This window comes from Homo sapiens, chromosome 19, assembly GCF_000001405.40.
Source record: "Homo sapiens chromosome 19, GRCh38.p14 Primary Assembly".
Taxonomy (NCBI): domain Eukaryota; kingdom Metazoa; phylum Chordata; class Mammalia; order Primates; family Hominidae; genus Homo; species Homo sapiens.
Window position 1 is genome coordinate 49,906,454 of NC_000019.10, and position 27,953 is coordinate 49,934,406.

The 27,953-nt window shown below is 54.1% G+C and overlaps 3 protein-coding genes and 1 non-coding gene across 14 annotated transcripts in view, besides 9 other annotated features; 2 read left to right on the forward strand and 2 right to left on the reverse strand.

Annotated features, from left to right (window-relative positions):
- Positions 1-23,051, reverse strand: part of IL4I1 (interleukin 4 induced 1) — a 39,851-nt gene extending 16,800 nt beyond the window's left edge. For 3 of the 4 annotated variants that reach the window (NR_047577.2, NM_172374.3, NM_001258018.2), the window contains exons 1-2: positions 22,873-23,051; positions 21,241-21,362 (exon numbers count right to left, since the gene is read on the reverse strand). The gene's annotated coding sequence lies outside the window, so the exon portion shown is untranslated. The remainder of the gene's footprint in view (positions 1-21,240; positions 21,363-22,872) is intronic. The other variant, NM_001258017.2, reaches the window with a different exon arrangement.
- On the reverse strand, positions 372-23,051 carry NUP62 (nucleoporin 62). Of its 5 annotated transcripts, none has more exons than NM_016553.5 (3): positions 22,873-23,051; positions 21,241-21,362; positions 372-3,431 (listed from the first exon to the last, which is right to left on the reverse strand). In NM_016553.5, the coding sequence occupies exon 3, from the start codon at positions 3,352-3,354 to the stop codon at positions 1,786-1,788; it is 1,569 nt and encodes a 522-aa protein (NP_057637.2). In that variant the 5' UTR covers positions 3,355-3,431; positions 21,241-21,362; positions 22,873-23,051; the 3' UTR covers positions 372-1,785. The 5 variants fall into 5 exon arrangements, with proteins under 5 accessions (NP_057637.2, NP_714941.1, NP_001180286.1 ...); NM_153719.4 differs by having other exon boundaries at positions 21,241-21,395; NM_001193357.2 differs by lacking the exon at positions 21,241-21,362 and having other exon boundaries at positions 22,964-23,051.
- Positions 702-821: an enhancer, noted in NCBI's record as "active region_14968". NCBI's record gives its function as "activates an Ori minimal core promoter by ATAC-STARR-seq in GM12878 lymphoblastoid cells {active_cell/tissue: GM12878}" and the evidence as "EXISTENCE:reporter gene assay evidence [ECO:0000049][PMID:35858748]".
- Positions 1,463-2,184: an enhancer, noted in NCBI's record as "H3K4me1 hESC enhancer chr19:50411173-50411894 (GRCh37/hg19 assembly coordinates)". NCBI's record gives its function as "activates a minimal SCP1, AML or CMV promoter by ChIP-STARR-seq in naive H9 embryonic stem cells {active_cell/tissue: H9 hESC(naive)}" and the evidence as "EXISTENCE:reporter gene assay evidence [ECO:0000049][PMID:30033119]".
- Positions 3,922-4,001: a silencer, noted in NCBI's record as "silent region_10946". NCBI's record gives its function as "represses an Ori minimal core promoter by ATAC-STARR-seq in GM12878 lymphoblastoid cells {active_cell/tissue: GM12878}" and the evidence as "EXISTENCE:reporter gene assay evidence [ECO:0000049][PMID:35858748]".
- Positions 5,009-5,318: an enhancer, noted in NCBI's record as "active region_14969". NCBI's record gives its function as "activates an Ori minimal core promoter by ATAC-STARR-seq in GM12878 lymphoblastoid cells {active_cell/tissue: GM12878}" and the evidence as "EXISTENCE:reporter gene assay evidence [ECO:0000049][PMID:35858748]".
- Positions 5,967-6,818: an enhancer, noted in NCBI's record as "H3K4me1 hESC enhancer chr19:50415677-50416528 (GRCh37/hg19 assembly coordinates)". NCBI's record gives its function as "activates a minimal SCP1, AML or CMV promoter by ChIP-STARR-seq in primed H9 embryonic stem cells {active_cell/tissue: H9 hESC(primed)}" and the evidence as "EXISTENCE:reporter gene assay evidence [ECO:0000049][PMID:30033119]".
- Positions 15,273-15,940: an enhancer, noted in NCBI's record as "H3K27ac-H3K4me1 hESC enhancer chr19:50424983-50425650 (GRCh37/hg19 assembly coordinates)". NCBI's record gives its function as "activates a minimal SCP1, AML or CMV promoter by ChIP-STARR-seq in primed H9 embryonic stem cells {active_cell/tissue: H9 hESC(primed)}" and the evidence as "EXISTENCE:reporter gene assay evidence [ECO:0000049][PMID:30033119]".
- Positions 16,025-16,778: an enhancer, noted in NCBI's record as "H3K4me1 hESC enhancer chr19:50425735-50426488 (GRCh37/hg19 assembly coordinates)". NCBI's record gives its function as "activates a minimal SCP1, AML or CMV promoter by ChIP-STARR-seq in primed H9 embryonic stem cells {active_cell/tissue: H9 hESC(primed)}" and the evidence as "EXISTENCE:reporter gene assay evidence [ECO:0000049][PMID:30033119]".
- Positions 22,453-27,482, forward strand: ATF5 (activating transcription factor 5). 4 transcript variants are annotated; one of them, NM_012068.6, is made up of 4 exons: positions 22,453-22,553; positions 22,790-22,947; positions 24,279-24,575; positions 25,969-27,482. In NM_012068.6, exons 3-4 carry the CDS (start codon positions 24,398-24,400, stop codon positions 26,637-26,639), a joined length of 849 nt encoding a protein of 282 aa, NP_036200.2. In that variant the 5' UTR covers positions 22,453-22,553; positions 22,790-22,947; positions 24,279-24,397; the 3' UTR covers positions 26,640-27,482. The 4 variants fall into 4 exon arrangements, with proteins under 4 accessions (NP_036200.2, XP_011524931.1, NP_001180575.1 ...); XM_011526629.4 differs by lacking the exon at positions 22,453-22,553 and having other exon boundaries at positions 22,752-23,412; NM_001193646.2 differs by lacking the exon at positions 22,453-22,553 and having other exon boundaries at positions 22,752-22,947.
- Positions 22,582-22,641: a silencer, noted in NCBI's record as "silent region_10947". NCBI's record gives its function as "represses an Ori minimal core promoter by ATAC-STARR-seq in GM12878 lymphoblastoid cells {active_cell/tissue: GM12878}" and the evidence as "EXISTENCE:reporter gene assay evidence [ECO:0000049][PMID:35858748]".
- Positions 23,492-23,541: a silencer, noted in NCBI's record as "silent region_10948". NCBI's record gives its function as "represses an Ori minimal core promoter by ATAC-STARR-seq in GM12878 lymphoblastoid cells {active_cell/tissue: GM12878}" and the evidence as "EXISTENCE:reporter gene assay evidence [ECO:0000049][PMID:35858748]".
- MIR4751 (microRNA 4751) lies at positions 26,611-26,684 on the forward strand. The gene has a single exon (NR_039906.1). It is a non-coding gene; the product is annotated as a microRNA 4751 (primary transcript).

Genomic DNA, 27,953 nt, shown 5'->3' on the forward strand with positions numbered 1-27,953 from the left:
TGCCCATCTTGGCCTCCCAAAGTGCTGGGATTACAGGTGTGAGCCACCTCGCCCAGCCATATTTGTGTATATTCTACGACATAACTGTCACAAAACACCTGGAGCCCACTCCCCGTGGCGGCTTCACTCGTGTGTTCCTCTTCTACCACTAGCACCACCCCTTCCTGGAGCAAACCACGATTTGCATTTGTCTATTACTCTGTCTCATCAAACAAAAGCTGCTTCATCGCATACCCCTATGTCTATGCAAGCACTACTTCATTTGCTTGCCTGTGCGTTTCATGTGAATGGCACCCCTGCAGAGTCTCCTGGAACCTGCTCTTTTTACTCAGCTTTCTCCTCCTAACATTTATCCATATTAACAGCAGCTGTTTTGGTTTCACAATACATTTATTTAGAAAAGCAACATACAGTAATAGGTATTTCAGAGAATTCAGCAAAGTATAAAGACAAATACAAAAGATGCTTGGGATACAACCGCTAGCTTCTGCCTTCCACACACAGTGGATTTTACTGTAACTGACTAGAGTTACTCTGGTGCCACTAAGTTCCGAGCCAAGTCTACGGCCACCACTGGAAGCTGTGGCTATTTCTGTGGACTGACGTTACACTGGGCTTCATTGTTCTTTCATTTAACAAATGTGACAGGGACCGGGCTGGGGACACACGGGGAACGACAGTGGGTCTCTGCCCATGGGAACTCACAATCTAACAGCGAGACGAGGCACAAACGGCTAGCACAGGATAGCATAACAAGTGCCACCCAAGGTACAGGCTCAGGGTGCTACGGGGACCTGCAAGAAGGCCACCTGAGCTTCGGGTAGCTGGGAAGGCTTCCTGGAGGAGGTGAGGCCCAAGGTGGGGGTGAGCCTGGGCCAGGCAAAAGGCAGGCCTCTCGGCGCCCATCTGTGGTTCCTCAACACCCTGTGTGTGCAGGCCCCTCAGCTGACCTGTCTTCTGTGAAATTCTTGATCCCGCTCTGTTCTATTCACACTGTGCTGCTTTGCCTTGGTGGTTAGCATGGTTAGCTTTCACAAGCACAAGCTCACACTCGAAAACTAGGCTGCTGTCTCCTGGGAGTTTCTTTTTTTTTTTTTTTTTTTTTGAGACAGAGTCTCTGTTGCCTAGGCTGGAGTGCAGTGGTGTGATCTTGGTTCACTGCAACACCTCCTGGGTTCAAGTGATTCTCCTGCCTCAGCCTCCCGAGTAGCTGAGATTGAGATCACAGGCGTCCACCACACCTGACTAATTTTTGTATTTTTAGTAGAGACGGGGTTTCACCATGTTGGCCAGGCTGGTCTCGAACTCCTGACCTCAAGTCATCTGCCCGCCTTGGCCACCCAAAGTGCTGAGATTACAGGGGTGAGCCACTGCGCCCTGACTTGGAGGTTCTCTTACATTTGGTATTTTTTCATGACACCTATGACTATGCTTTGGAGAGAGTGGCTGCCCCCACGACCCTGGCTGGGACCAAGACCATCAGCACTTCTCCATCACCAGGCTGAGCCAGGATGAGGTGGGTGGTCGCAGTAGGTGAAAAGGGGCCAAAGATACTCAAATGAAAGCCACAGAAGCCACACCCATGAGGCTGCTGCCTGGGCAGAAGGCCCAGAATACCCTCCTAAATGGAAAAACGCAAAGCACACAGCGATCATGTCAAGGGCAGTCATGTGAAAGAAAGAAACAAACAAACAAGTATCTTGCCACAACCCCAAACTACAGACAACAGGGCGCATTCCCCTCATGAACTCCCTAGGGACCTGCGGGCCCCAGGGCTGCTGTCGCTCAGTCAAAGGTGATCCGGAAGCTGCGCTCCTGCTCCTTGCGCCGGCCCTCGCACACCTTGGTCACCTCCTCCACCTTCCTCTGCAGCAGGGCCGAGTTCTGGTCGATCCACTGCAGTGAGTCCATGTGCGCATTGAGGATCTTGCAGATCTGCTGCAGTGGGTCACTGGTGTCGGCGGGGGCCCCGGACGTGTTCAGGTGCTCGATGATGTCCTTGAGATCCTGGGCCATGCGCTTGAGCTGTGCATCGATGTTCTCAGCCAGCTTGTAGGTTTTCTCACGCTCCTCATCCGCGTGCTGCAGGTAGATGGTCCCGCTCTGCTCCTTGACCAACTCCTCCAGTGGGCTCAGCAGGTCTTCCAGCTCCTTCTGCTGGGACAGGATGAAGTCGAGCTCCTGGTCCAGCCTCTTCTGGTCCAGCTTCACCTTCTCCACCTCGCGGTGCAGGCTGGTGATCTTTTCTCCATTCTCGATCAGCGTGCGGTCCCAGGCGTTGACCTGGGTGGCCTGCTGGAGGAAGTGCCGCTCCTGGTCCTCTAGCTCCAGGCTCCATTTGTTGATCAGGCTCTCCAGCTGCGCGTAGGTCATGGCGGAGCTGGCAGCCGCCCCTGCAGCTGCGCCAGGGCCAGGTGGAGCGGTCACGGCAGCTGCTGTATTGCTGGGGATCCCGGCTGGCGCCAGTGGTTTTAAATTCAAGGCAAAGCCGGTGGTGCTGCTGCTGCTGGTGGTGGTGGCGGTGGCGGTGGCAGCGGTGGATGTTGTTGTGGAGGTGCCGGAAGCTGCTCCAGGTGCCTTTAAGCTGAAGCCCTGTGTCCCAGCAGTGGGGGCGCCCGCTGTGGTCACAGGGGTACAGAGGGAGAGTCCAGTGGTGGCAGATGAGGTTGGAGCAGTTGCTATTGACGCAAAGAGGCTGGGCCCAGTGCTGGTGATGGTGGCTGTGGGTGTGGGAGCAGCTGGCTGTGTGGCACCTGCTGTGGTGGCTGCTGGCGTGGCCGGAGTGAAGGGCAACGTGGCAGGTGCCGTGGGCTGGGCTGAATTCCCTGCTGAGCCAATGTTGAAACCGGAGGGTTGGGCCGTGCTTCCACCAGTGAATGAGAAGCCTCCAGATGTGGTAGCTGGAGCCACAGAGGTGGTGGAGGGGCCAAACACAAAGCCGGTGGGTGCTGTGCCCTGGCTGGAGGTGACGGTGCTCGATATGGCATTAGTGAGGTTGCTGCTGCCCAGCCCAAAGCCGCTGGGGTTTGCCATGGCTGGGGTGGCAGCTGTGTTGCTCAAGTTGAGCTTTGAAGCACCGATCCCCAAAGAAAATCCAGTTCCCCCCGAAGCAAGAGTCGCTGTTCCAAAAGTGAAGCCTGTCGTCTGTGTGGCCGGAGTCTGGGTGGCAAGTGAGAACAGGCCGGTGGAAGGGGTACTTGTGGCTGGTTGGAAGGGAGCCCCAAAATTAAACCCTCCAGTGCCAGAGGTGGAGAAAGAAAACCCTGTAGCAGGTGTGGTTGTTGCCGTCTTTGCAGTGCCAAACGTGAACCCGCCTGTAGGGGCCCCAGTGCCTCCAAAATTAAACCCGCTCATGGCTCCGGACTCTGGTGGCGGCAGCTACTCTGGCTCCCAAAGCAAATCCGTCGGTGTCTGCAGCCTTGGGAAGATTTCTAAAGCAGAGGAAGTGACATTGTCAGATGGCAGTTTTGGAAAGGCAAGCTCAGTGGCATGACTGGGCACAGTCGGTTTGGAGGGTGGTGGGATGGGATAATGATGCATGCTGTGTAACCTAAACTAGGCTCTGCTACATCGAGAAGGATCCAGAAGCACAAAAGCACGCCCCAGGGGTCAGGTACGAGGAGCCGGGGTGCTAGGGACGTGCGTGGCCATGTTCAGCCCAGTGGAAAGCTCCCACTCTGTGGAGGACGAGGCGGGAGAACAGGACCTTGGACCCACCTCAGCCTGAGGAGATCAGATTTGAGGCACTGCCACAAGCGGGACTAGGACACACAAGAACAGCTGTAGGACCTGCTCCCAGCGTGGGACCCAGTGAGGTTCCCTGGCTGACTCTAGCAGGGTGTGAGCGGATCAGCTCTTGCCACCCTGAGGGCCTCTCTGGACCTCAGAGAGAGAGATGGGGCCGGGAACCCAGGCTGGATGGCAGGGTCTGGGTTGCTGAAGGCCCCCCAGGCCCACACCTGCACTCTCTAAGAGCAGGAGAGGACACTGGAACTCCTCCTCCTAACTCAGGGGAGGGTCTGAAACCCATGTGCTCAGAGCACAGATGCCCCTGGCTGCAGTGATTGGCTCAAGGATAAACTGAGACCTGAGCCAGGCAATCGGAGCCTCCCCTGGGGTTTTCTCCAGGCTTGGAAGGCAGCTGCCTCCTTCACCTGTAGGTGTGGTGTGGAGGATTGCACCTGGGCCTCCCTTGGACACCTTCTCAACCATCTGCAGACACTGGGACATCACGGGAGACCATGAGCCCCACCAGAGATGGGTGGGGGTGGGGGTGGGGGAGGGATAAAGAGCACCCCAGAAGACCCATGGGCCACAGTATTTCCATTCAGTTCAAACTGACTTGATTTTGGTAATGTCTAACTGAAAAATCTCCCAGTGGTGCCATCTATCAGCAGGAAGGTCAAAGGTTACCTGGTGAGGAAAGGGTGAGAGGGAGTGCTGAATAGGGGTGGTTTCTTTTTCTTTTGGGAAAGGGTTTTTTTCTGTCATACTAGCTGGAATGCAGTGACATGATCACAACTCACTGCAGCCTCAACCTCCTGGACCCAAGTGATCCTCCCACCTCAGCCTCCCAGAGTAGCTAGGACTACAGGTGCATGCCACCATGCGTGGATAATCTTTTTTATTTTTTGTGGAAATGGGATCTCACTCTGTTGCCCTGGTCTTCAACTCCTGGGCTCAAGCGATCCTCCCTCTTTGTCCTCTCAAAGTGCCAGGACTACAGGCGTGAGCCCTAAAGATGATCAGCAGTATCCTTAGAAGACGGATTTGACTGACTGGAGAAGGGAAGAAAGCTTGTGGTGACACGAGCAGACTGGAGTGATGCGCTTTGGAATCTGAAGATGTGAGAAAGCCAGGAGCCAAGGAAGGCAGAAGCAGCTCTAAAAGCTGGAAATGGAAAGAGGGAGGCCCTGTCTCAAAAAAACAAAAGAATAATCAAAGTCAAGACTGAGAAGCCAAGTGCCTGACCCAGAGAAACACCCACGAGGTCTGTTTCCTCTTCCCTCTCTCCAGGCCAGTTTTTAAATTGCTTGGTGTCTGTCCTCAGGAAATCCCCTTCCAGCTTGAGTAAGAGGCAACCTATCTCACTACCCCCACCCCTTCCACTGCACCCTTCTGCTTCCTCACAGGCCCCTAAGTTTTGTTTCGTCTGCTCCTCCTTCTCCACACAGCCAAGCAAGCCTGGGGAGATGACCCCAGGGCCAGCTGCACACGCTCTGCCTTGTCTAAGCCAGTAGATCTCAATGGGCGTCCATCACTACTGACTGGGAGCATTCAAAATACACAAGGCTGTTAGCTCCACTAAGCCAGTCTCTCCGGGGCTGGGATGCTGTGGCCCTGGCATTTTCATAAAGCTTTCCTGGGGGATTCTGAGAAAGGTCTCTTCAAGAGGCCACGGCAAGTGCCTGAGCCCCCAGGACTGCTGGGGCCTGGCCCGGCCTACATCCATTCCTCCCGTTGTGGGACAGAACAAAAGTCCTCACTGCTGAGCCACCTCAAGCCGGTGTGTTGTTACTGGCAGCTAAAGGCATCTGAGCAGCTACACCTACACATCTCAGTTCTCAAGAACTCAGCTTAAAAAAGCTTTTGCTATTAATAAGTTGTAGCTAAAATTTCCAAGAAGAGCATTTATAAAAAGCTCTTTGCAACTATGAAAAAACTACAAGGAAAACAATCTTCTATGGGGACTTGTCTGGCTTAACAGTTCACCTTTTTTTTTTTTTTTTTTTTGAGACGGGAGTCTCGCTCTGTTGCCCAGGCTGGAGTGGAATGGCATGATCTCGGCTCACTGCAACCTCCGCTTCCCGGGTTCAAGCGATTCTCTCGCCTCAGCTTCCAAGTAGCTGGGATTACAGGCGCATGCCACCACGCCCGGCTAATTTTTGTATTTTTAGTAGAGATGGGGTTTCTCCATGTTGGCCAGGCTGGTCTTGAACTCCTGACCTCAGGTGATCCGCTTGCCTCGGCCTCCCAAAGTGTTGGGATTACAGGCATGAGCCACTGCGCCCGGCCAACAGTTCACCATTTATTAAGTGCCACATTGGTTTCCAATACTCAGGTGCCAGGGATCTATTCACAATGGTGAACCCATACTGATCCAGCCCTGATCCACGCAGTTTAGATATGGCCAGGTGAGGTGGCTCACGCCTGTAATCCCAGCACTTTGGGAGGCTGAGGTGGGGGGATCGCTTGAGCCCAGGAACTCGAGAACAGCCTGGCCAACATAGCGAGATGCTGTCTCTACACAAAAAACACAAAAATGAGTTGGCCGTGGTGGCAGGCGCCTGTAGTCGCAGCTACCTGGGAGGCTGAGATGGGAGGATCACTGGAGCCCAGGGAGGTGGAGGCTGCAGTGAGCTGTGATTGTGCCACTCACTCCAGCCTGGGCAACAGAGTGAGACCCCATCTAAAAAAGAAAGAAAGGAGACCTACCATTACTCACCGTTTCCTCAAAGCAAACTTTGGGGCAGATCCACTTGACAAATGAGGAAAGTGAAGCCCAGAGTGGCTGGTTAAGCCACGGTCCCTGCCCTCAAGGCAGCCAGAGTCAAATGTCAGCTCTACAACCAGGGCTCAGGGCAGGCACAGGGCCGGGCCACATGCTGTGGGAGCAGGTTCCAGGGAGAAGCTGAGCGTTGCAGATGCAGCATCAGCCAGGGAAAGGATGGCGGGGGAGAGGCGCCGTCCACGCGGGAGGAAAGGCCTGTGTGAAGACAGGGAGGCCCACACAGCAGACATGCCTCTGGGTGCTAAGTGATCTGGTGCTTCTGAAGGGAGATGTTTATGTGTGAAGGAGTGACTTGGCAAGCCTGGGCTGTTCAAATCTGCACATTCCAAAGAGAGAAAATGGCCCTTGACCAGCTCCAGGAGAATCTCTATGTTCTTGAAATGTGCTGCCAGATAAGAGCGCCTTTGTTTACCTGGGGCCCCAGGCCACTCTAGAGAGTCCATGTTGACGCTGTGACCTAGAGTGGGGGCTTTGGGTCATACAGTATCAGCACGACCTCTGGAGGGGCTGGAGTCAGCAGACCTCAGTTCAGCCACACGGGTGCGCCATGTCCTCCCCACAACCCGGGCCGCCACTGCTCCGTAAGCGTTACCACACGCTGTTGCAGGGAGAACTGAGCACTGTCCGCGGGACTCTCTCTACCTGCAGAGGAGAGCTGGAAGCTCGTGCCTGGTCTCCCTTGGGGCTTTTGCATCTCTCCCCTTTGCTGTTTTCAGTCTGTATCATTTCTCCATAATAAACCGTGACCGTGACTGTGAGTAGAAAGCTTTGCTGAGCTCTGTGAGTCTTAGCTCATCACTGAGCCGCAGGGTGGTCTTGGGGACTGTGGGCCACGTGACAGGCGGGAGAATCTGGCAGACCCATACATACCATGCTAACGGTTCGGGCGTTATATTGAGGGAGCCACAGGCGGACTTTATGGGTGTGGGGGATGAACCGTAGGGGTAGAGGCTGGAGGCCAGGTGGCTTAGAGAAGACTGGGAGAAGGTCCAGGCCAAGAGCCTGAGGCCCGAACTGGAACTCAGAGAGGACAGCATCACAATTTGAGCAAAGTGTTAAATTTGCACCAAAACCACAGGGTCTGTCCAGGTTAACAGTGACAGGCCAGGCATGATGGCTCACACCTGTAATCCCAGTACTTTCGGAGGCCAAGGCAGGAGGATTGCTTAAGCCCAGGAGTTTGAGGCAAAAAACAAAAAACAAAAAGCCACAAATACTAGAACTTGGGAAGTTTCTCACAAATGCAAACTATTACGAGCTCTGATCCCGGAATTACCACATTTGCCAAAGGGGAGAGTTTCCTTACCAAAGAAGCTGATGGTGCTGGTGGCGGTGGAGGAAGCAGGGAGGAACCCAAACTGAGGGAGTGTTGCATTTCCAGGGAAAGGAGGAGGGTATGCCTGGGCCTGTGCTCAGGGCTGGGTGGCTGTGACCATCTGTAGTTCACCCAGGCAGGACACAGCTCCAGAGAAGCGCTGCCTTGAGGTCACCAAGGAAAGTGCTGGCAGAGCCGCCAGTCCCTTCCCTTCCTGCCTGCCTGCCCCAACATTTACCCTTGAGTTTCAAACAACACGGCCGCCTTCACAGCCCTGGGAACCCGGAGGAAGACCCGCTTGGGATTCAGATGCGGAATCATCTGAATTCAGGTGGGCATATCCCACCCCCATCTGTGAGAACCAGGGTTCTTTGCTGTCACCCCAGCCTTCGGTCAGCTCTACTACCTTACCTCCATCTGTGATTCTTGTGCCACTCCAAGTCCCAGTTTTTTTTTTTTTTTTTTTTTTTTTTTTTTTGAGATGGAGTCTTGCTCTGCCACCCAGGCTGGAGTGTGGTGGTGCGATCTTGGCTCACTACAACCTCCGCCTCCCGGGTTCAAGCAATTCTCCCACCTCAGCCTCCCGAGTAGCTGGGATTACAGGCGTGCACCACCATGCCCAGCTAATTTTTGTATTTTTAGTAGAGACGGGGTTTCACCATGTTAGCCGGGCTGGTCTTGAACTCCTGACCTCAGGTGATCTGCCCACCTTGGCCTCCTAAAGTGCTGTGATTACAGGAGTGAGCCACTGTGCCCGGCCCCCAACCCCTTTCCTTAGATGCCTGGGACAGGAGTCTGTGCCTGGGAAAGAATACAGGAGACCTCAGCTTTGGACCAAAAGGAAAGGAAGAATTAGGAAGGATGTGTGCTATGTGTGTGGGGGGGTAGACAGAAAAACGGCCCCCAAACATGCCCACACTCTGATCCAGGACCCTGTCAATGTGACCTTACATGGCAAAGGGACTTTGCAGATGTGATGAAGATAAAGAGGTTACCCTGGCTTATCCACGTGAGCCCCAGGTGACCACAGGGGTTCTTCAGGGAGGCAGGAGTCAGAGGGAGATGTGCCTATGGAAGAATGGACTGAGAGACACTGTGCTGCTGGCTTTGAAGATGAGGGGGCCACAAGCCAAGGAACACAGGCGGCTTCGGCCTCTAGAGCTAAAGAAGGACATAGCCTCTCCCCTAGAGTTTCCCAGAGGAACTACACACCATGCACCCATTTAGACTCTGGACCCCCAGCACTGTGAAAATACATTCGTGTTGCTTTAAACCACTACATTTGTGATGACTTGTTACAGCAGCCACTAGAAACCAATGGCGGTAGGTTGAGGGACGATGGAGAAAGAACAGAATGAAATCTAGATAGGTGGATGGGAATACACAGAGCAGAGCTGGGGTTGAGAAAGGGGCTGGGGTCAGGGGCAGGTCTGCCCTTGTGCATGGAGACCAAGGCGGCTGGTACAGAAAGGAAAGTGAGGTGTGATTCTGAAAATCCAGACATCCCCTGGTGCTGGGGCAACCCTGCCAGGACTGTGGATGTGTGTGGGTGGATTGCCACTGACACCCAGCCACGATAGGCCATCTATGATGGGAGGGAAGGACAAGGTTGCCTCCGAACACAGAGGAAGGCTAACGGTGGGGATGGTGTCGGCTCCACTGGGCCAGATTTCCGTTTGTTCCCTGCTGTATTCGCAGCACCTGCAGCAGTGCCTGGTACACAGTAGGGACTCAGTAACAACCATTTACTAGGGACCTACTGTGTAACCGGCACCGTGCCAGAGCACTGCACTGCAGCACACCGAGCCCTTCCTGGGTGGGAAACAAGTGCAGACTCCCCAAGGCCACCCAGCAAACAGCAGACCCATGATGGGAAACCAGAGCTTTCCAGGGCCAAGTCTTGACATTCTGCCTGGGACGGGAGAGTTTCATTGAGGAAAAGATGTTAGAATTAAGTGTTGGCCAAGTGTGGTGGCTCACATCTGTAATCTCAGCACTTTGGGAGGCTGAGGTGGGTGGATCACCTGAGGTCAGGAGTTCGAGACTAGCCTGGCCAACATGGTGTATCTTTTGTATTTTTTTTTTTTTTTTTGAGACGGAGTCTCGCTCTGTCGCCCAGGCTGGAGTGCAGTGGCGGGATCTTGGCTCACTGCAAGCTCCGCCTCCCGGTATCTTTTGTATTTTTGTATCTCTACTAAAAATACAAAAATTAGGCCAGGCGCGGTGGCTCACGCCTGTAATCCCAGCACTTTGGAAGGCCGAGGCGGGCGGATCACTAGGTCAGGAGATCCAGACCATGGTGAAACCCCGTCTGCACTAAAAATACAAAAAAAAATTAGCCAGGCGTGGTGGTGGGTGCCCGTAGTCCCAGCTACTCGGGAGGCTGAGGCAGGAGAATGGCATCAACCCGGGAGGCGGAGCTTGCAGTAAGCCGAGATCACACCACTGCACTCCAGCCTGGGAGACAGAGCGAGACTCCGTCTCAAAAACAAAAAAACAAAAATTAGCCTGGCATGGTGGCGTGTGCCTGTGATCCCAGATAGAGGTGGGAGGATGACTTGAGCCCAGGAGTTTGAGGCTGCAGTGAGCTGTGATCATGCCACCATACTTCAGCCTGGGCGGCTGAGCGAGACCCCGTCTCAAACAAATAAAAAAGTTCTGGGAGGCACTTGAACAAAGGCCCATGGCATTCGGCTGACAGCCACCTGGTGGCACTGCTGACAACGCAGAGCCCAGATGCAAGACGGACAGGGTGCGGAGCTGTCTCCGTGGGACCTCCCCTTTCCCCATGGAATTCGTTATTTCAGATTTGGGGGAAGTATGACCGGTGGAACCAGAGAGACCAGAACAGGGCAGAAAAGAGCAGAGAGTGAGGGAGTGGAGAGGAGAGAAACAAGGGGAGATCAGAGATGGGCTGGGCTCAGCCCAGGGAAATTTGATTCCTGCTGAGGCTCAGACGCCGTCCTCCAACACTGCCTTCCCTCACTTGCCCTCCCGTGGGAACCTCTGGCCAGGACCATCTCCATGAGTGCTAGTGCTGGGATTCTCCGTCTGCAAACTCCACAAGTCTAACTACTCTGCTTCTTAACCGTCTCCTGAATCAGTTCCTCTTTCCTTTGCGTCAAAGAAAATCCCCCTAAACCTTGAATAACAGATCAGCTCCAAGTCTGCCCTTCAAGAACTGAAGTCAACTGACCAACACCTTCCTAAGTGGACCTTAGCCAAGGCAGATGCTCAAGCGGTCCAGGCCAAATGGCCAGACCAGAGTGCCTTGGGAGCATGAGACCATGAGTGGGTCAGGGTCTGGGTTATGTTGGGAAAGACTCACCGAGACTCTGTGTGGGAGGAGTGAGGAGACTGTTGCAGTCGCCTGGCGGGAGCTGGCGGTGGCCTGGGCTTTCCTGTCCTGCTCTCTTACATAACTACCCTGCCTGGGGTATGGCCAACCCCATTGGTAGAAAACAGAGTGGGCCAGGGATGGTGGCTCGCGCCTGTAATCCCAGTACTCTGGCAGGCCGAGGTGGGTGGATTACCTGAGGTCAGGAGTTCGAGACCAAGCTGACCAACATGGTGAAACCCCCGTCTCTACTAAAAATATAAAAATTAGCCAGGTGTGGTGGTGTGTGCCTGTAATCCCAGCTACTCGAGAGGCTGAGGCGGAGGTTGCAGTGAGCCGAGATCGCACTACTGCACTCCAGCCTGGGTGACAGAGCGAGACTCTGTCTAAAACAAACAGACACACAAAACAAACAAACAAACAAAAACCCAAAGCCATGGAGAGGGTCTGCTTTCCTTTTTCTTTTTTTTTTTTTGAGACAGAGTCTCACTCTGTCATCCAGTGCAGTGGTATAATCACAGCTCACTGCAGCCTCGACTTTCTGGGCTCAAATGATTCTCCTGCCCTAGCCTCCCGTTAGCTGGGACTACAGGCATACGCCGCCATGCCCAGCTAATATTCGATTTTTTGTAGAGATGGGGTCTCACTATGTTGCCCAGGCTGGTCTCCAACTCCTGGGCTGAAGCCATCCTCCCACCTCTGCCTCCCAAAGTGCCAAGATTACAGGCACGAGCCACCACGTCCAGCGAGGGTTGCTTTTCTAAGCCAAATCTGTGACATGGAAGAGCTCCCCTCTCCCACCCCTATATGTTCACCTCCACCAAAAGGCCACCTCTCCTCCACAGAACCAGGTATCCCCAATAGTAGGGAGGGAGGAAGGGACAGGGATACCTGTGGGTTTTCAACTGTCCTCTCTCTCTCCTCCTTAGGTCACCTGGCATTCTGGTCCCATTTTCCTCCCTGATGCCTTTCAACCTACAGGCATAACCGACTTGCATTAAGGACCTGTGTGGAGACAAAGGAACAGGGTGTGTGTGGCTGTGTGTCTGTCAGCTCCTCGGGGGAGAAGCTGTGATGGATCAAGCTGTCTTCCCCAGGCTGTCACTGGAACTTTTACTGCATGTTCAGATGTTTCAATGCCTAAATGTTCCCGTGTGCTCACTACCCAGGAGGCCGCACCACCCTGCCACAACCCAGTGACATTGGTGGGCATTTAAAGACATAAAAGCTAGGCCGGGCGCAGTGGCTCACGCCTGCAATCCCAGCACTTTGGGAGGCTGGGGGGGGGGGGGCGGGGTGTGGGGGGGCGGATCACCTGAGGTCGGGAGTTTGAGACCAGCCTGACCAACATGGAGAAACCCCATCTCTACAAAAAAAAATTACAAAATTAGCCAGGTATGGTGGTGCATGCCTGTAATCCCAGCTACTCGGGAGGCTGAGGCAGGAGAATTGCTTGAACCTGGGAGGCGGAGGTTGCAGTGAGCCGAGATCACACCACTGCACTCCAGCCTGGGCAACAAGAGTGAAACTCGGTCTCAAAAAAACAAACTAACTCATTTTGTGAATAGGTAGTATGTTCACATTGTTGTAGCTCAAAAGGTACAAAAGGGAATAGTGTGGCCTGTCTTCCCTGAGTCCCACAGCCTCCCAGCCCTGCTCCCTGGAGACAGGCTGCTGTTGCACATCTTTGCAGAGACTTGCTGTGCGTTTAAACAAAAGCGTGGTTGGCACTATCCCCACCTGCACACAAAAGGCCGCCTGCTACATGCACTGTTCTCTACTGTTCTTTATGTATCTTAGAAATCGTTTTAAGCAGGCTTATTCTCCTCACCCGGGTAGATGAGGAAACCGAGGCCCTCAGAGGGGGCGACTTGCCCAGGGTACCAAAATCCTGCCTCTGCCACTTGCTACACAGGATGGCCTCAAGGCAGTAGCTAAATGATTTGTGGATTCACTGATTTTCAACCTTCTCTCCTGCTTTCCCCTGAAGTCACCTGACGGCTAATTAGCAGCTACTTTCTCCTTCCCACTCCCCAGGCCCAGAAGCTACCAAAGGAGCTCTGGTCGCAGGACCAACAGCAATTTTCCCCACAGGAAAAACGAATCAGCTAAGACAACCATGGAAAAGTTAGGAAACAGCCAGAGAGAGATTTTAAGGAAGATTCTAGAACCACCGCTTGCTCTTAATATAAAAGGACTGGAAGAGATTTGAGGAATACTCTGGTGCCAAGGCTTCTTCCTTTTTGGCCAATAACTTTTATTTCTTACTCTTGTATTGAAAGTTTTTTCCCCTCTACCTACTGCATTAAAAAAAAATTTTTTTTTTTCTAAGACAAGGTCTCACTCTGTCTCCCAGGCTGGAGTGCAGTGGTGCAATCACGCTCATAGCCTCAACCTCCCGGGCTCCAGTGGGCCTCCCACCTCAGCCTCCCTAATAGCTGGGATTACACATGTGTGCCACCACACCAGCTAATTTTTTTTTTTTGAGACGGAGTCTCACTCTGTCATCAGGCTGGAGTGCAGTGGCGTGATCTCAGCTCATCGCAACCTCTGCCTCCCGGGTTCAAGCTATTCTCCTGCCTCAGCCTCCCAAGTAGCTGGGACTACAGGCGCGTGCCACCACACCCAGCTAACTTTTGTATTTTTAGTAGAGACGGGGTTTCGCCATGTTGGCCAGGATGGTATGAATCTCTCGACCTTGAGATCCGCCCACCTCGGTCTCCCAAGGTGCTGGGATTACAGGCGTGAGCCACCATGCCCGGCCTAGGAGTTTCTTTTTAGCGTGATGAAAATGTTCTAAAATTGACTGTGGTGATGGCTGCACAACTCTGTCAACGTACTAAAGCCACTAAGTTGGACACTGATAAATGGATATGGATTATACAGTATCTCAATAAAGCCACTCAACCAACCAACCGACCAACCAACCAACCAGGGGGTGCTGGGAAGGGGTTGAGAGGCCTCCATGAGGCTGTGGAGGCGGATAGGCGTCAGGCTCAGAGCTGACTTTACCCCGAGGGCAACGGCTCGGGCAGAGTTTCTAAGGGCAGGCCCATGCCTTCCTTGGGGTGGCCGGTAATGCTGGTTGAGAACAGGCTGGGGAAGAGCCTAGAGCTGAAACGCTCTGGTTGGCGGTGCAGGCACAGGACATCAAGGCCTGGAGAGGGACTGAGGCATCAGGGCTGAGGGACTCTGAGAGCAGCGGACAGGCGTGTGTGGCGGGGGAGGAACGGCGCACACCTGTGCCCCATCCGCAGCCCCTCTTCTTGTCAACATCAGCTTCCCCGGGGAGAGGCAGTGATGTTGGTGGGGGAAGGAGGGAAGGGCCCAGGCCGGGCTGTGGTGGAGACGGTTGCTATGGAGGTTTCTCTGGGAACCAGGTGAAGGCAGCCAGAAGATGGGGGCAGGGTGGCTTTCATTATGAGAACTGGAAGCAAACACAGCCCCTTCCTGCCTCGGCGGACATCTCCACACCCACATTTCATGGCATTTCTCACGCGCTGGGCTGTTTCCAGGGCTTCACCTGTTCTCACTCACTTAACTTTCCCCCAGCAATGTGACGAAGCGAAACTATCATGGCTCCCATTTATAAATGAGCAAACTGAGAAAGGGGAGAGGACTTCAGTCACCTGCGTAAAGTCCCACAACCAGTAAGGGCTGGCCCAGGTGTCTGGCCCCACAGCTGAGCTCCTAACCGCACCGAGCCTCTCCAAAACATGGTCTTTTTTTGCTCCCCACTGCCACCACCATCACCGTCCCCTGCCTCATCCAGTCCCCCTTCCCATTCTCCAGAGACTTCCTGGGCCATCTCCATGACCTTCCAGACCAGCCTGGGCTTCACTCTCAAATCCAATTCAGGATGATCCGCCCGCCCCAGCTGCAGACGATGGCCTGAGACGCCTGCAGGGAAGAGAGGGGCGTCCGCTGCTCGCCAACCCCCATACGTTCCTGCTCTGTGGTAGGTCAGGAAGAAGAGGGCAAAGGAGTCTGCATCAAACTGGGCTAAGGCCTGGCGCTCTGATGGCCGCTGACCTCAAAACTCTCCATGGGGGGTACCCCTCTGCCCATTGAGGGGGCACCTAGGGAGCCTAGGGGTCCCGTGAGGCCCTCCCACCATGGTTCCCCGCCTCTGCCTCTCCCCGCAGCTCCGACCATGACCATCCATCCTATGAGTGCTGGCTGGGCTCAAGCCCGGGTACTTTCCTCCGTGCCCAAGCAACCCTGTAGGAACCACATATCCTGGGCCAGACGAATGCAGGAGCTGCCTCCTCTGGACACAGCGGTGGCTCTCACCTCCCTTCCATCTTGGCAGGATGAGTGCATTTGCTGCGAGAAAGCAGCCCCGACGGCAGGGCCCTAGGGCCCCAGGCCAGGCCACCACGACCACGAGGGACCAAGACAACAAGCCCACTCCTGAATCACGCCTCAACACAGACAACATGATGTCCAAACCACAGAAACGACCAAACACCCCTCCTGACTCAGAGCTGCTGGCTGTTTCTCAACTAACCCCGGCGGCACTAGCTCCCTTTGCTTCTCAGGCTCTAGGTCAAATAGATGCGAGTCATGGGCTTGCCCCTGACACAGCCCAACTCCTCAAGTTAGCCCAAACGCCTCCTTATTGAGGTGCCCTGCGAGTCCCTGTGGGGGACAGTCTTCCTGCCGCAATGAGCAATGTGCTCCTGGTGGCCTCTGGCTGGGGGCATGGGGATTAGGAAGAGAGTAATAAGACACCAGCCCCACTTCCAGCAGGCATCCTGAACCTCAGGAAGGATTCTTTAGGCCTCCTCCTCTGCTCCCCAGAAACACTGTCCTCCCCTCCTTCACATGGGACCGGGCTGTGTCGGAATGAAGCCCTACTCCGTCTCACTGCTTGTAAAGTCCAGCACAGAGGGGACCAGCCTCAATCCTCGGAGACTCTTGGAATGAGGGCTGGGTTCCTTTTGCTCTCTGCTGTGGACAGAGAGGATGACAGCTGTGGGGAGGGGAAGTCACAGAGGGCCAGCAGCCTGAGTCCTGTCCACACTGGTGGTTTGCTGGGGTTTTCCAGGTTTTTCTGAATTACTTGCCTACCTTTAAAACTTGGATCTCACAGAAAAAAAAAAAACTGGATTTCCAGCTTCTCCCGTGAAACCAGCAGCTTTGCACCACCAGCGCTGCCAGTGTTGCTGCGGCCCCGGTGCCTTTCAGGGGCCCAGGTGCTTCTGGGAGCCACCCCTCCCTCTGGGCCTGACACAGGGCCCAAGGTGGTCAGCAGTTCACCGGTCCAGGCCTCTTCCCATGTCAACCCCCTGCCCCTCCACACTGCCCCAAGGTAGTTCTATGATTGTGCCCATTTTACTGATGAGGTGACCACAGGTCGGGGGGTACAGTATCTTGTCCCAGACCACTAAGCGGTGAGTGATGGCATCCTGGGCTCTAGGACACTGGTGTCAGTTGTTATCAGTTTGCTGTGTCCCTTTTTTTTTGCATAAGAGCTGTGACTGCTTCTACTGAAGGGACAAGGGCAGGCACAAGGGAGGGAAGGGGCTCTGGAGGACTGTGGGCCACGTGGCAGCCTGTGCTGTCTCCCAGCCCCCGCGTCATCCTCTCCCCAACTGAGCTGGCCTTGGCCTACCTGCCCTTGTTTGCCAGGACTCCCACCTTCAACCCCGGCACCCCTGGCCTGCGTGACCCAGTTACCCTCCCTGGCTCCTCTCAGGGACCTCAGTATCACATTCGCTGGCCTCTGTGCTGAGCAACTCATTAGAAAATGTATTGATGCCTACGGAAATAGCAGCACAGGGCGGGGGGTTGTGGGGAACGTTTCTGGGAATGAGGAGGGCCCTGACTTTGCCCTCGAAGCGTTCGGGGGAGCAGTCACGTAGGCAGACATCTGCACACGGCGGATCTGAAAGCAGAAGCAGGCGTGGCGAGAACAGAGAGAATCACACACAGACCCGGGCTCTGGCAGCCGCCGGCTTCACTGATGCCATCTCCACAGCGCTCCCACACCAGGCCCCAGAGCAGGAACTACTGCTCACAGGGCATTTCCCTATGCCAGGCCCCACTCTAGGTATTTCACGCACATTTACACATTTAATCCTCAAAACCACCGTCTGCAATGGACCATCTCATCCCCATTTTACGGAGGGGAAACTGAGTCATAGAAAGAGGATGCCACTTGCTGAGGGTCACAGAAGTGGTGGAGTTGGGGTGTGAACCCAGCAGGCTGGCTCTAGGGCCCATGCTCTGACCCACGCTGCGGAAGGCAGCCGAGGCTCGGCAGATGAGGGCCCTGCCTGCACTCCAGTCTACAACTGAGTGCTGGGCTCAGGACCAGAACCCCGGTCTGTCTGATGCAAAACTCGGAGCCTTTTCCATCATGCCAGGAGGCCACCGTGATTGGGAAAGCAGTGAGGAGTTGCGGCAATAGCAGGGCGATGGCACGGTGCAGGTGCAGGCAGGAATCGATAGCGTCTGGCAACTGTGAGCAGCAGCAGGCCTGAGGTGAGGGTCAGGGCTTGGAGACCTCCCAGAGACTACACCATGGGCCTCGGGGCCCTGGAAGCTGTGCAGCATGGTGGAGGCTGAGGTCCCATCTAACTGGCACTGTGATTTTCACAACCCCCCTTACCTCTCGGGACCTCAGTCTTGACTCCTGCTAACAAGCCTCTGTGATCTGAGGCCCCTTCTTGGCACCGAGCCTCAGATTCTCAGGGTCCTGCACGGGTGGCTGATCTCCCTCCCTCTCCACACCACCCCTACTCTTGCTGTGCGGGGGTTCTCCCTTATCCAAGGCTCTGCTAACCGGGAGCGGTTGCCAGGTGTGCTGGGGTCCCCAGAGAATCCCCGAACTCCCCGTCCCCGTCAAACAGCCAGGGCTGATGCAACCTGCCTGCAACCACCGCCTCACTCCCCAAGCCAGGCCCCTCCGCACCGAAAAAGAGTCCCCAGTAGCCCCACCCTTGCTTCAAGCCCCAGCTCAGGAGTTGAAGGGGAGCTCGAGGCTGGGGGAGGCCAGGACATGAGTCCTGAAGGGGCCACAGGCCTGGGTCAGGAATGTGCACACGAGGGGACTCAGGGTTCGAAGATCTGGGGAGAAGGGTCGCAGGCAACCACTGATGACCGGCTATGAACTAGAACAGGCTGGGAGGGGCTGGAGAGCTAAGGGTGCCAACTGGCACCCACTCACCCTGAGTCCAGCTGCTAAGTCTGGCTGGGCTGAAGTGGGTGGGACCCAATAGCTAGAGAGAAAAGGCGGCAAAACGGTGGGGAGGGGAAGCAGAGTCCCTGCCCAGACACCTCTGCAGCCAGCATAAACCGCACATAGCCAGCAATGCAATTCTCCTACTGACCAAGCTATTAAAAATTACCCACACCGGGCCAGGCGCGGTGGTTCACGCCTGTAATACCAGCACTTTGGGAGGCTGAGGCGGGTGGATCGCCTGAGTTCGGGAGTTCGAGACCAGCCTGACCAACATGGAGAAACCCCGTCTCTACTAAAAATACAAAATTAGCCATGTGTGGTGACACATGCCTGTAATCCTAGCTACTCGGGAGGCTGAGGCAGGAGAATCTCTTGAACCCAGGAGGCAGAGGTTGCGGTGAGCCGAGATGGCACCATTGCACTCCAGCCTGGGCAACAAGAGTGAAACTCCGTCTCAAAAAACCAAAAAAATTAAAAAACAAAACAAAACAAAAAACCCAGGCCGGGCACAGTGGCTCAGGCTTGTAATCCTAACACTTTGGGAGGGTGAGGCAGGAGGATCGTTTGAGCCCAGGAATCAGGAATTCAAGACCAGCCTGGGCAACATAGTAAGACCCTCCCCCCCATCTCTACTAAAAAAAGCCAAAAAAAAAAAAAAATAGCATCCTACCTGGCCATCCTCTCAATATCCCGCAATCCCAGTCTGAGACAAAACCAAATGGAAGCACATTCCATAAAATACCCAACCAGCATTTTTCCAAACTGTCAAGGTCATGAAGGACAAGGAAAGTCTAAAACCAGTCACAGGCCAGAGGAGGCTGCGGAGCCATGATGCCTAAATATAACGTGGCATCCTGAAGGCATCCGGAAGGAGCAGAAAGGGCATTAAGTAACAACTACCAAAATCAGCATCAAGTGTGGTCAGAATCAAGAATGGCATTTGGTCAATGGTAACATACTGATGTTGCCTTGGTTGTGACAAATGTGGCAAAGTAATGTAAAATGTTAATGGAAAAAACCAAGTGAGGGGCATACAGAAATTCTCCGTATTATCTTTGCAACTTTTCTGTTGAGTCAATCTACAATTATTCCAAAATAAAAAATTTTATTTAAAAAATAACCCCCTTGGGTACGGTGGCTCACACCTGTAATCCCAGCACTTTGGGAGGCTGAGGCAGGCAGATCACGAGGTCATGAGTTCGAGACCAGCCTGACCAACATGGTGAAACCCTGTATCTACTAAAAATATAAAAATTAGCCAGGCATGATGGTGCATGTCTGTAATCCCAGCTACTCTGGAGCCTGAAGCAGGAGAATGGCTTGAACCTGGGAGGCGGTGGTTGCAGTGAGCTGTGACGGTGCCACTGCACTCCAGCCTGGGCAACAGAGCGAGACTCTGTCTCAAAAAAAAAAAAAAAAAAAAAAGCTAGGTCTTGCTTAAGACTGGGTGTGGTGGCTCATGCCTGTAAATCCCAGCATTTTGGGAGGCCGAGGTGGGTGGATCACCTGAAGTCAGGAGTTCAAGACCAGCCTGGCCAACATGGCAAAACCCCGTCTCTACTAAAAATACAAAAATTAGCCAGGCGTGGTGGTGGGCGCCTGTAATCCCAGCTACTTGGAAGGCTGAGGCAGGAGAATTGCTTGAATCTGGGAAGTGGAGGTTGAAGTGAGCCAAGATCATGCCACTGCACTCCAGCCTGGGCGACACAGCAAGACTCTGTCTCAAAAAAACCAAACCAAACCAAACCAAACCCAGTCCCCATGTACAATCTAGAAGATCTTCGTAGGAAAAGATTCTACCGGCGGGGCGGGGGAGATAGGGCACGTCTGTGCGTCCTTACCACTGGCAGTCTGCCCAACAGTCTACCCTTAATTCCATCTGCTTTTGTTCAAAAATCTATACAGCAATGGAATGAGAACACATCCACCTTAATTACAGCAATAACAATAACCACTTTTATGCAGCACCTACTGTGTCCCAGGCGTTAGTCTAACTGCTCGACACGGATTAACTCATTTAATCCTTGTAACAGCCCTAAGAAGTAGGTACTTTTTTTTTTTTTTTTTTGAGACGAGGTCTCACTCTGTCACCCAGGCTGCAGTGTGGTGGCACAATCTCGGCTTACTGCAACCTCCGCCCCACCCCAGGGTTCAAGTGATCCTCCTGCCTTAGCCTCATGAGTAGCTGGGACCACAGGTGCAAACCACCACACCCGACTATTTTTTTGTATTTTTGGTAGAGACAGGGTTTCACCATGTTGCCCAGGCTGGTCTCGAATTCCTGAGATCAAGCAATCTGCCCACCTCAGCCTCCCAGGGTGGTGGGACTACAGGCATGAGCCACCGTGCCTGGTCCAGAGGTAGGTATTCTTAATGCCACTTCGTACCACAGGGGAAACTGAGGCACAGGGAAGGGAAATGGCCAGGGTCACACAGCTAGTAAGAGGGGTGCAGTCAAGTTTTGAACTCATATAATCTGGCTCCAGAGTCTATGCCAGGTATGTATAAAATTTGGCTTCCTGGGGCCACATTGAAGAATTGTCTTAGGCCACACATAACATACACTATTGATAGCTGATGAACTTAAAAAAAAATCGCAAAAAATTCGCATGTTTTGGTAAGGTTTACAAATTTGTGTTAGGCTGCATTCAAAGCTGTTCTAGGCCGCATGCAGGCCCACGGGTGGGACAAGCTCAGTCTATGCTCTTAGCTGCTACTCTGTATACTGCCTCAGTGATAACACAGCCCCTATAGGCCCAAGAAAATATAGGGCAAGTGCTCAAAAACTGGCAGAGTGGACAGTAAGTGCTCTAAGGGAAGGTGGTCAGATCCCAAGAAGGACTTCCTGCCCGCAACAGGTAAGGAAGGAGAAAGAAGCTTGTGTGTACCGCTCAGTATCAGGATTCCTCCACCTTCTCTGGACCTTGATTCAGTCTCCTAACTGCCACAGAAGGGATGAAGGTTGAACTCCAGCTGGGATGTCCTGATGTGGATGGGACAAGGTGGGTTTCTGCAACAGAGAAAAGACGGACATCCACCTCGGCTGGTGGAGGAGGGCCCAGTGCATGAGAAGGGGCAAGATGGCTACCCTGTGACTAAACGAAAACGGAGATCTTCCATTTTTGGCAGGGTTGGGAGATAGTTCCTATCCAGTGGAAGCTGAAGGACGGTTTGAAAGGAAGCCAAGGGCAAGGGATGGAGAAAAGGACGCAGCTGGGGCCTCGATGTCTGAATCCCTGCCAGGGGATGGGGCCTGGGCACCCATCATTTGGAATGGAAGATGAGGATAGCTGGAAACAGACACTTTAGAGGGATGAGGGAGACAGAAGAATGACAGCAGGTGTTGGACAGTCCAACGTCTGCGGCTCTTACAAGTGGTAAGGAAGAAATGAGACTGGGCCCCAGAGTTCCTATTAATAAAATATGCTGAGGCCGGGAGCGATGGCTCACGCCTGTAATCCCAGCACTTTGGGAGGCCGAGGCGGGCGGATCACGAGGCCAGGAAATTGAGACCATCCTGGCTAACACAGTGAAACCCCGTCTCTACTAAAAATACAAAAAATTAGCCGGGCGTGGTGGCGGGCGCCTGTAGTCCCAGCTACTCGGGAGGCTGAGGCAGGAGAATGGCGTGAACCTGGGAGGCGGAGTTTGCAGTGAGCCGAGATCGCGCCACTGCACTCCAGCCTGGGCGACAGAGACGGAGAGACTCCGTCTCAAAAAAAAAAAACAGTTGAACAGGAATGTATGAGTTGAGCTCTGTGCATAAGGCTTGCCAGACATCGTCTTATTTGAGTCTCATAAACCCACCAGGCGAGTTGATTTTTCTTATTTTACAGATAGGGAAATGAAGTAAGAGAACTTAAGTTATTTGCCCGAGGCCATCCTGGCAGGTCTGTATTTGGGAGAGTGCTGTGACTCATGCTGGACTCTAACCCACGAGGGTTTCTCAGAGTCAGCAGCTGGGGGATGAAGAAGTGAAAAGTGACTGGCAGGAAATTCTGCAAGCAAGGAAAGGGAAAGAGAAATGAACTGGTGCAGGTCTGCGGGAAGAGAATGAGGCTGGATCCTCAAAATCACAGGAGGAAGCAGGCCCAGACCTCAGAGGCAGAAAGAGAAAGAAACCAGAGCTTAGAGTCAGGAGGAGGAAACCAGACCCCGGAGCCACAAGGAGAGGGCTGGATCCCCGGCTCAGAGGGAAGAGGTCGGATCCCCAGCTGAGAGGGAGGAGGGTCCCGGACCCTAGGAGTGGGAAGGAAAGGCTCGGATCCCCTGATCCCCAGGAGGAGGGGACCCGGCTGCCTCCCGGTTGGGGCCGCGCGAGGGCGGGGCGCGGAAGGATCCGGGAGGGCCGTGCTCCGCCACCCAGTATATATCTGTCCCCAGTCCCCGGGGCCGCCTCATTCCCTGTCCTCGGATCACAGTCTCTTCTCACTACAGTGTCGCCGCCTCTGCCTGCGTAGCCCCGGCCATGGCTCTGTAGCCTCGACCCCTTTGTGCCCCCGGCCCGTCTCCGCGCTCACCACGCCTGCGCTCTCCGCTCCCACCTTCTTTCTTCAGCCGAGGCCGCCGCCGCCTCTCCTTGCTGCAGCCATGGAGTGAGTAACCGCTTACCTCTTCTCCAACTGCCTTTCCCGCCCTTTCGCAGCTCGTGGCCCTCTTTAGGGAGCCCTGGGGGGTGGGGAGTCGCGAGCGGGGAATCACGGTCGCGCAGGCGCAGAAGTAGTACGGTGGGCCGAAGGCGCGCGGCTGCGCATGCGCACTGGGCCCGGGGCCGGGTGGGAGAGTTCTAGACTCGATGTTTGTCAGCCCGCGTGCAGCTGGGCCTGAGCACTCCAGGGGAGGGTGTGTTTTTTTTTTTTCTAAACGATTCTTCGTGCTTGGTTGTTCCTGCGCAGTAGCCCACCAGTGCCCCGTAGTGAAAGAGCTGCGGACCCTGAATGGCCGCACATGCGCATTGATCCCCAAGAGGGCGGAGGTGTAAAGGCAATTGGACCGCTCGGGCGACGTAGCATGCGCCTTGGCCCTCGGCGCAGAGCCGCGTGTGGACGGGTGGCGTTCGGGTAGCCGTTCTCCGCGTGCCCCCTCTACCCTCCTCCACCCTCCCTGCCCCACGTTGCTCTGGCTCACAGCCCAGCTTCCTTCCTTTTAAACCAGGCACCTGCTGAGGCGGGGACTGGCTTAGATTGACAGGGCAGAAGGCGGGACCCAGAGGCAACCCTCTAAGTGGGTGGGGATAGAACCACTGTCGTCACGATGGGTGGGATTTCGGAAGCACATTGTGAGAAGGGGCGGGGCTAAACCAACCGTTAGTTGAGGGGTGGGGTTTCGATGTGACAAAGAGGCGGGGCCTCTGGGGAATCGGGGGAGGGGCGGAGCTAAATAAACAATGAGGGGCGGGGCTTGGAGGGGCAGCGGCAGAGCGAGGAGTGGGATTTGAGTGGATAACATTGCTGAAGGGCTGCGGCCTGGGGCAGTTCCCCTGGGAACTGGTTTGGGATGGAAGCTAGGAAGGCAGTGGGGCCAAAAGGAAATATTTTAGAGGAAGGGGCGTGGCTGGAAGAAAATGTCCCTGGGATTGAGTTTTTCCTTGAGGCGAAATATTCTGAGGTGGATGGGAGGGGCCTAAGGTAATTCCCCTGGGAGACCTTTAGGTTTTTTTTTTCTGTATTGGGGGAAGGGGTGGGGCATCGGTCCTACTTTAGGACCTAAAGAAATTCCCTTGGGAGTGGGTGGGGCTCAGAGATTTGGGTAAAGAAAGGGCAAATTTAGAATTCGGAGAGGCTGAGGCTTAGTGTTCTAAACGGTGGTTGGAAGGGGGAGGGAGGAGCCTCATGGACGTGCCTGGGGGTGTGGCTTGGCTTCCCCTTGATTTTGGCCGGTGGATGACGCTGTCCTGACCACACCCACTCTTGTCTCACGCGTGTAGGTCTTCCACTTTCGCCTTGGTGCCTGTCTTCGCCCACCTGAGCATCCTCCAGAGCCTCGTGCCAGCTGCTGGTGCAGCCTCTCCTGTTGCCATCAGTGCCCAGCACCTGTGCTACAGCCATGTCACTCCTGGCGACCCTGGGGCTGGAGCTGGACAGGGCCCTGCTCCCAGCTAGTGGGCTGGGATGGCTCGTAGACTATGGGAAACTCCCCCCGGCCCCTGCCCCCCTGGCTCCCTATGAGGTCCTTGGGGGAGCCCTGGAGGGCGGGCTTCCAGTGGGGGGAGAGCCCCTGGCAGGTAAGGGCAGGTGGAAGGTGGAGCTGGGGAGTGGAGGGCAGGGGAAGATGGGGGAGGAAGAACTCATCCATGTATTCAATAAATATTGAGTGCCTACAATGTGCCAGGCACTGTTTTAGGTGCTGAGGATACGGCTGGGAACAAGAAGAACATGGTCTGTGCCTTCCAGCAGCTCACACTGTGGGGAGTAGACCAGAGATAAATTAAATGAGAGTGTATTGGAATAAGTCAAAAACACCTAGCAGCTGAGCTACAAAATGACAAAGGGGACCTAATATAGAATGGGTAGCCAGAAAACCTTCTCCAAGTAGGTAACATGTTGACTGAGGCATAAATGATGGGAAGGAAGCCAGGCATGATGGCCTGTAATCCCAGCACTTTGGGAGGCCAAGCGGGGAGAATTGCTTTAGTCCAGGAGTTCAGGACGTGGGCAACATAGCGAGACCTCATATCTATAGGAAAAAAAAAATTAGCCAGGCATGGTGGCTCACGCTTGTAGTCACAGCTACTTGGGAGGCTGAGGTGGGAGGATCGCTTGAGCCTGGGAGGTCTAGGCTGCAGTGAGCCAAGATGATGCCACTGCACTGCAGCCTGGGCAACAGAGTGAAACCCTATCCCTTAAAATAAAAAAAAAGTAGGGAAGGAATGAGGAAAACACCCAAGGGAAGAGCATTTTAGTTGGAGGGAACTGTATATGCAGAAGCCCTCAGGAGGCAGGAATCATTTCATTCATTACTGTATCCCAAATGCTTGGCACATAGTGGGTTTTCAATAATTAATGAGTAAAGATGAAACAAGGCATATGTGCGTGTGTATCTGTGTGTGTAATGTGATCTAGTTTGCCTTTTAAAAAGAGAGAATAGAGACACCACAGATACAGAGTACTCGGTAAAGGAGATGTTGGAATGGTTGAAGAAATGCTTGGTTGACTGTTGCTTGAGTCATTGGTTGGTTGGCTGGTTCTTTTTTTCTTTTTTAATTTTTTTTTTCTCCTGGACCCTCTTATGGGTTAAGACTGATTCTTTCATTGGCTAATTTGTTGGGTTTTGGTTAACTGGTTCATTGGTTGATTAATGGGTTGATTGGTTGGTTGACTGATTTATTTGGTTGGTTGACCGATTCCCTGATTGATTGGTCGACTAGTTCATTGGTTGGTTGGTTGGTTGGTTGGTTGACTGGGTGGTTAGATGGTTGATTGTTGGTTGGTTCGTTGACTGGTTTATTGGTTTCTTCACTGGTTTGTTGGTTTATTGACTGGTTTGATGATTCAGTGGTTAGTTGTTTTACTGAATGAATGGGACAGATGCACCTGAATGAGACGTGAGTCAGCACCCAACTACGCAGAAGACCAGCAACTCAGGGAATTTTGTGTCCCTCCCCACTTTAATCCCAGGTGATGGCTTCTCTGACTGGATGACTGAGCGAGTTGATTTCACAGCTCTCCTCCCTCTGGAGCCTCCCTTACCCCCCGGCACCCTCCCCCAACCTTCCCCAACCCCACCTGACCTGGAAGCTATGGCCTCCCTCCTCAAGAAGGAGCTGGAACAGATGGAAGACTTCTTCCTAGATGCCCCGCCCCTCCCACCACCCTCCCCGCCGCCACTACCACCACCACCACTACCACCAGCCCCCTCCCTCCCCCTGTCCCTCCCCTCCTTTGACCTCCCCCAGCCCCCTGTCTTGGATACTCTGGACTTGCTGGCCATCTACTGCCGCAACGAGGCCGGGCAGGAGGAAGTGGGGATGCCGCCTCTGCCCCCGCCACAGCAGCCCCCTCCTCCTTCTCCACCTCAACCTTCTCGCCTGGCCCCCTACCCACATCCTGCCACCACCCGAGGGGACCGCAAGCAAAAGAAGAGAGACCAGAACAAGTCGGCGGCTCTGAGGTACCGCCAGCGGAAGCGGGCAGAGGGTGAGGCCCTGGAGGGCGAGTGCCAGGGGCTGGAGGCACGGAATCGCGAGCTGAAGGAACGGGCAGAGTCCGTGGAGCGCGAGATCCAGTACGTCAAGGACCTGCTCATCGAGGTTTACAAGGCCCGGAGCCAGAGGACCCGTAGCTGCTAGAAGGGCAGGGGTGTGGCTTCTGGGGGCTGGTCTTCAGCTCTGGCGCCTTCATCCCCCTGCCTCTACCTTCATTCCAAACCCCTCTCGGCCGGGTGCAGTGGCTTATGCTTGTAATCCCAGCACTTTGGGAGGCCAAGGCAGGAGGATCGTTTGAGGCCAGGAGGTCAATACCAGCCTGGGCAACATAGTAAGACCCTGTCTCTATTAAAAAAAAAAAATCAACCCTTCTTCCCCACCAAACCACCCAACTCCTCTCTACTCTTATCCTTTTATCCTCTGTCTCTGCTTATCACCTCTCTTGCGTATTTCTGGATCTCCTTCCCTCCTTTCTCGTCCAAATCATGAAATGTTTGGCCTTAGTCAATGTCTATGCCCGTCACATAACAGCCGAGGCACCGAGGCCCACAGGGAAGCAGCTGGGAGCTTGGAAACCTGGTCTCTTGAATTTCAAACCTGGTTTCTTACAGGTGGTTGTCTGGGGTGGGTGGAGTGGCGACAGGATAGAGCTGAAGGACTATGCAAATGAGGAAGTAAGTCAGGGCGGGCTTTGAGAAGGGGACCCATATCCTACAGGCAAAAAGCAGGCTAGGTGACCTTGGGACACTACGCTAAGGGAGGGAGGCTAAAGGCGGCCAGGTTTGCAGTGCGGGAAGATGAGCAGGCCAGTGGGAGGAGGGGCAGGGCAGGGCTGTAGTTGGTGACTGGGTGTTCATTTTAGCTCTAAGAAAAAAAATCAGTGTTTCGTGAAGGTGTTGGAGAGGGGCTGTGTCTGGGTGAGGGATGGCGGGGTACTGATTTTTTTGGGAGGTTATGAGCAAAAATAAAACGAAACATTTCCTCTGGCTTGTGCATCTTGTCTTTGAGAGAAGCAGCTGGGGAGAGGCGGCCTTGTAATCTCAGCACTTTGAGAGGCTGAGGCGGGCAGATCACCTGAGGTCAGGAGTTCAGGACCAGCCTGACCAACAAGGTGAAACCCCATCTCTACTGAAAATACAAAATTAGCTGGGTGTGGTGGCGTGTGCCTGTAATCCCGGCAACTTGGGAGGCTGAGGCAGGAGACTCGCTTGAGCCAAGGAGACGGAGGTTGCAGTGAGCCAAGATTGTTCTATTGCACTCCAGTCTGGGAAACAAGATTGAAACGCTATCTCAAAAAAAAAAAAAAAAAAAAAGGGGGGGGGAGGTGGGGAGGGCCGGGCGTGGTGACTCACGCCTGTAATCCCAGCACTTTGGGAGGCTGAGGTGGGCAGATCACGAGGTCAGGAGATTGAGACCATCCTGGCTAACACGGTGAAACCCTGTCTTTACTAAAAATAT

Coding starts and splice junctions, on each gene's coding strand:
- ATF5 (NM_012068.6), top strand. CDS start 24,398: ATGTCACTCCTGGCGACCCTGGGGCTGGAGCTGGACAGGGCCCTGCTC. Junction 24,576..25,968: donor GGGGGGAGAGCCCCTGGCAG/GTAAGGGCAGGT, acceptor CTTTAATCCCAG/GTGATGGCTTCTCTGACTGG.
- NUP62 (NM_001193357.2), bottom strand. CDS start 3,354: ATGAGCGGGTTTAATTTTGGAGGCACTGGGGCCCCTACAGGCGGGTTC.